Source organism: Homo sapiens, chromosome 12 (assembly GCF_000001405.40).
Source record: "Homo sapiens chromosome 12, GRCh38.p14 Primary Assembly".
NCBI classification, from domain to species: domain Eukaryota; kingdom Metazoa; phylum Chordata; class Mammalia; order Primates; family Hominidae; genus Homo; species Homo sapiens.
This window is the reverse complement of record NC_000012.12, coordinates 28544503-28550502: the sequence shown is the minus strand read 5'-3', so window position 1 is coordinate 28550502 and position 6000 is coordinate 28544503. Positions and strand designations below refer to the sequence as shown.

The 6000-nt window shown below is 32.4% G+C and overlaps 1 protein-coding gene across 37 annotated transcripts in view; it reads right to left on the bottom strand.

Annotated features, from left to right (window-relative positions):
- Nucleotides 1–336: 336 nt before the first annotated feature.
- The window catches only part of CCDC91 (coiled-coil domain containing 91), a 359711-nt gene continuing 354047 nt past the window's right edge, over nt 337–6000 (bottom strand). For all 37 annotated transcript variants that reach the window (NM_001352086.2, NM_001352079.2, XM_047429083.1 and 34 more), the window contains one exon: nt 337–1440. In NM_001352086.2, coding sequence (NP_001339015.1) covers nt 1330–1440 — 111 coding nt within the window. In that variant the 3' untranslated portion in view covers nt 337–1329. The remainder of the gene's footprint in view (nt 1441–6000) is intronic.

The following is a 6000-nucleotide window of genomic DNA, read 5'->3' as shown; positions in this document are numbered from 1 at the left end:
AGCAAGCACTATATGGGGTACTTTACAAGATTTATTTTTTTAATAGCCTATAAAAATCACTCTTTCTACCTCACAAATGAGAAAACTGAGACTCAAATTAGTTAGGCAGCTTGTCTAACTAACTAGTTAGGCAGCTTGTCTAAGGATCTACAATTAAAATTTAGCAGGGCTAGAAGGCCAAGCAGGTCTATAAGGAAGGCTAGTCTTGTTCTTAAAATATTCGAGTGATAAAACGACTTAGGATAGAAAATTTCAACTTGAGAAAGAAAAATTCTAAAAAAAAATAAAATATATTTTTTAAAGAAATTTAAAAAAAAACAAAAAGTAACAACCAAATAAGTTTGGGAGCTCTTTTTATTACACTGAGAAATCTCAGAAACGTACAAAGCCCATGAAAGTAGATGCATTTCAGAAAATAAGATAAAACATTTGCATACATACATATTAATGACATTTTAGTTTTGAATTAAAAATATTCATGATTTTGCATTGAAGCATCCTGCCTGTGAATTAAGTACATTCTGAAATACTGGGAAAAGATTTCATATATCCTGTACTTGAACCTAAATTCCTATAAATGGCTGAGTTATATTCTCTTTCTAGAGATTAAGTTCACAATTTGATTTGTAGACTAATGGTTTTATTGATTCAAAGTATCTTTAAAGAGCAGAAATAGGAAACAAGCATACACCACACACACCCCTTTAGTTTAAGTGATATATCAGATCAAAGTTGAATTAATATAATAATCTTTAGTGCTTTTAATTGTATTGTTTGTTTTCAGTAGACCAATGAAAATACATAGATCCAACTGCAGAAGAGGTTAGGTAATGCCGGAATGATTCTCTATCATATCGGTGTTTTATTTCCAATTATACAGATAAATAAGTGATGTTGAAATCCATGCTATTTCTATCCTCAAAATAAGATAAATGTATGGTTACATTCTAGCATCTCATCAAGAGTCATCATGAAACAATAATATATTTACTACTTTTGCAAAATAATATATAATAGACTCCCACAGGCTATAAAGTTTACTTAATTAATTTTGGTAATGTGGCACTTTACAATGGCTTTTGGGTCATATCATACTCTGTTGCTGCTACTACTAATAATAATAAAATAACAGTAAATGTAAAGAAGAAACCAAAAGAAAATAAATTAGATCACTTGATAGTTCTAAATATTGTTTTGGTTTATCCTTGAACTGGAAATCAATTCTACATGATTTGGAAAGAAAACAAACACATCTTTATAATTCAGAGTGTGTATTTTGAAGGTGTAATATGATTTATCCAATGCCAGTGTGGGTTTGTCATGTTCTTTTTATTCAATGTCAACTGGTTCCGTAGCTATTAAAGCACTTAACTGTTTCTGTGCACAGGAGAGGAACAGTTCCAAACTGGACAGGCTTCTTTGGCGGATGACTTGATCGAGCTGTTTAATTTTTTTAAAGAGAGAGAGAAAGAGAAAAAAAAATACTGAGTTGAAGGATAAAGAATATTATGTCTCTGAAGCCCACTAGAAAAAACTTTCCAGATGAGACAATTTAGGAAATCAAATAGTACTTTCAACTGAATGACAGTAAAGTCACTCTTTCTGGCCTAAATCATCTAAGATGAGATGATAATCATTATAGTTTTATAACTGATGTTGTTACTCAGTTATTAGAGAAATATCATACATTTGATCAGAATGATTTCAGAAAACATAAAATAGTATTAAAATGCCAGTTCTTAGTGTATATACGCAACCAAACATCCACAAATATATTACAGATACAAGTAACAAAATAAGTACATAGCACAGAAACACAGCATAATCACATCATACACAGGGTTTAGTGGAACAAATTATAAGGGAGGAGATAAACAATTTGCTGAAATTAGAGAAAGTTTTGGGGAAAAGTATGCTTTAAAAAACATTTGAGGCCAGGTGCAGAGGTTCACACCTGTAATCCCAGCACTTTGGGAGGCTGAGGTGGGCGAATCATTTGAGGTCAGGAGTTTGCGACCAGCCTGGCCAACATGGTGAAACACCATCTCTACTAAATATATAAAAAATTAGCTGCGCATGGTGGTGCACACCTGTAATCTCAGCTACTTAGGAGGTTGAGGCAAAAGAATTTATTGAACCCAGGAGACAGAGGTTGCAGTGAGCCAAGATTGCGCCACTGCACTCCAGCCTGGGTGACAGAGTGAGACTCTGTTTTAAAAAAATAAAACAACACACAAAATATTTGATACTGTTGAAACTTTTTTTGTTCTTGTCCCTTGGCTAAGGTAGAGATGTTTTATTAGGATGTTTTAATATTTCAATAGCAAACTCATATGGTAAACGAAACAAGAGGGTTAGTAAGGGAAATCATTTGGATTATATATAATAAAGAACTCTCTGGATGGTAAACATTATTGAATATAAGAAGAAAAGCTTCAAACTTTTTGGCCCTAAAAAATTTGCCCATAGGGTAAAAATAACAAAACTAGGCAAACACATTCCCTATAGGTTACAGAACAATGGAGGAATTAAAAGACAAATAAATTCCATTTCATAATATACTTGTCATACTTATGTAAAAGTTGTCATTCTTCTCACAAGCCCCTGCATCCCCCACAAAGGCAAACCTGAACAATAATTCTCATTAAAGTATACTTCCATAATCTACTATACTCAAAATGGCTGAAAAATTGGATGACTAAAATATTGAAATATTCTAAGAATTAAACAAACAGAATCACTATATTTAGCAAAATGCTCCTGTAAAATCATTGAACTATACTGAATCCCTTCAATTCCAATATTCGGAGATTCTATTATATATACAGAAGTAAGATTTCTGCTTATCATTTTTCCTCACAGTTTTTTTTCCTTCTTCCTCTACTGGATGATACCTTCAGGTGAATACATACCTTATGCTTATAAGACTATTAAACAAAAGAGATCTTAGAATGTAAGACCCAGGTACGCAGAAATCTTGTCTGTCTTGCTAACTACTTTATCCCTAGCATCTAGAGGGGGTCTGGCACATGTTAGACAAGCAATAAATATTTGCTGAGATTGAGTGAATCAAGATACATAACCCCAATCAAACAAGGCAATCTACTGGAAAATGACAGATGTACTTTTAATGCTAAGAACCAAAGCATGCTAACCTAATCTAAAAGATACATGGGAGATTAAAGTCATAGTTTTAAAAGTTTCATTTTAATATATGTAAAACAGATTGAAATCTAAGTATTTTCAGCTTCTAAAACTATTTTGCACTTGGTCTAAATTAAACAGTACAGAAGAATATACCAATACTCAGTTCCAGTCCATTCTCCAGTGATTTCTGTCTACTTTTGGATGTTTTTAAGCATTTAAAGATGGGTTTTTAAAAATATGTGGTCCACATCTTATAATCCTTATAATTCTTAAGTTTGAGAGGGTCCACACAATCACTTTATTTCATTGCCATTACTGGAAGTTTTCCCTATCTCATTTTAAAAAATTGCTTAACTGTATTTCATAATTTATTTAGCTACTTTCCCATTGACAGACATGTAAGTTTATTCTAACTTTTTTGTTGTTTTTCAAGCAATAAAATTTACAACCTGAGTGCACACCCTTCAAAAGATGTTCAAGGTACTGAAATCTGTCACATCTGCATATTGTAAATTGTGATACATATTGCCAAATTTCTTCCCAGAGAGTATACTAAGTTATCAGTCCCAACTGCAGTGTTATAGAGGATCAGTGTCTCTTGTTTTTTTTTCCTTTTAAACCGTTGCATAGTTTTCATTTTATAGTTATAATATATGTAACAGATATTTTAATATTCTAAAGCATTATATTCACAGACATTAAGATTGTTCATAATATTTGGCTATTATAATTAAGGCTGTAATGAACATCCTTCAACACAGACCTCTGTATACACGTGCTAGTATAGCTTGTGGAAATTGTATGAGCCAAAGAATATGTAGTTGGCAATGCTACCTCCAATTATAAATCAGCTTTCCATATATGCAGGAACCTGTCTTTAGGCTCTCCATCCTGTTCCCTTGAACAATTCACCTATCTCTACACAAATGTAATGCTATTTTAATTACTACAGCTTTATAATAAACCTTAATATAACATATATTGCCAATATAAAATATTTCAGAAGAATATAAATTAGTGGGCATTTGTAAGAAAACTGAGTTTAAGAAGGAAGTGACCAGACTACAGATAGTCTCATAACTCTTTTATCATAGGCACAAAATATAAGCAGAACTCAGCGGTATATTATTTTGAGACATATAAGTAGGCAAAAACCCATTTCTTTTTAAGGTAAGTAAACAATGCAATAAAAACTGAACTGAGGATAGTTGTATTTGGAGGATGAATCTGGCAGGATGAGATACGTAATTCAGTTTGGAGGTGGCTTCATGGGTGTTTGTTTTACTATTATGCTTCATAACTTGTGTACATATAACATATGTGCTAGCTTTAACAATTCAAAATCCTTCACAAATCGCCCAGAACAATCAGGAGATACATTAAAAACAAATATGACTTAATATCTTAGAATTTTTAGAAGCTAGATAAATGAGAAACTTTTCTCCTTTTGAGGGAATATAGTACAATTTCACAATGTGTAACAAGCATTCAACCTCTGTTGCTAAGTAACAATAATCTGAATTTGTGCATTCAAAAGGAGTATTTCTGTAATTTTTTAAGAGGATATATATATAAGGACAAAAAAAGTTTGATAGATTTCTGTTTAAACACACCACACGCTTCTCTTGCTTGTGTTAGATGTCACCAAGGAATTACTGACTATAAGATGGTAGGCATGAAGGTTTTGGTTTTAGGCAGCTGCCAAGGCTCACTTCACATCTTTACCACTCCCTCCCCAGAGCACTCTGAAAGTAAGAATCCTTTAAATAAACAGGAGCACAATACTTTAAGAAGCAACAAGGCGAACCGATACTGTATGAGGAGGAAAACAGAGATTGGGCCATCACAAAGCTGAGCTTCCACTTTTGTGGGTCCTTCTTGGGCATAGTACATAGATCATGGCTGTGGGATGGAACACATACAACCTTTCTCTTATAAGGATGTTGAATTCCTCTCTTTGAAACAAATACATCAAACTGATGTTCTTGGCAAATTCCTGAATTTCAACAGTTACTGTTTTATTAGGCATGACCTTCTTATCCTTTATTGAGGCGAGAAGAATTTTGGCAAAATATTCACCTTTTTTGCTCCTTAAGGTATGGGACTTAGTTCTGTATTTGTGGCTTTCATTTCAAAGTGAATCAAAGATTTGTATTCTGTGACATAGTAATGAAAAATATTATGTCCAGAGTAGTGGTGGCAAATATTTTTTTGATATGGGGTTAAAAATCTCTTCATAATAGAGTAGCTCTAACCGATTTGTTTTCTCTTCCATTTTCTGTTGCTTTAATTTCTATTCAGCTCTTACACATATCTGAAAAATCTGGAAATTCTGAAGTTTCTGAAATAGACAACTAGGCTTCAGTTTGCTGGTATAACTGCTGAAAGCCTTTTAGAAGCATACTACTTACTAAAATTTTTAATTTTATTAAGCTTGTGGGGGGAAATAGCATGTCTTCTTAATAATTTCATGTATTAGATTTACCCTTTCATGAGTGTTTCATGCCATTGCAAAAGTAAAAGAAAAATAAAACATCTCTTGACCTTAGCTTTTTATTTGCCAGTCATTAAAATGCAATATGATGGTGAATTTACATTGGTCTAAAGTGCAACATTCAAAGTCAATTACAAACACATCTGGCTTATTTTAATTGGACTGTTTATTAAGAAGACTGTTCACATCCAAAAAGATATAATTCATTGTTTTGAAATATATATATGTGTGTATGTGTATGTGTGTGTGTGTGTCAAATACACATAGTACTAATTGCACTTTCAATGTTTTGAGCTTCTACCAACAAAATACACTAAGAAATGTGAACATGTTACATCTACCTTTATCAATGTTACTTT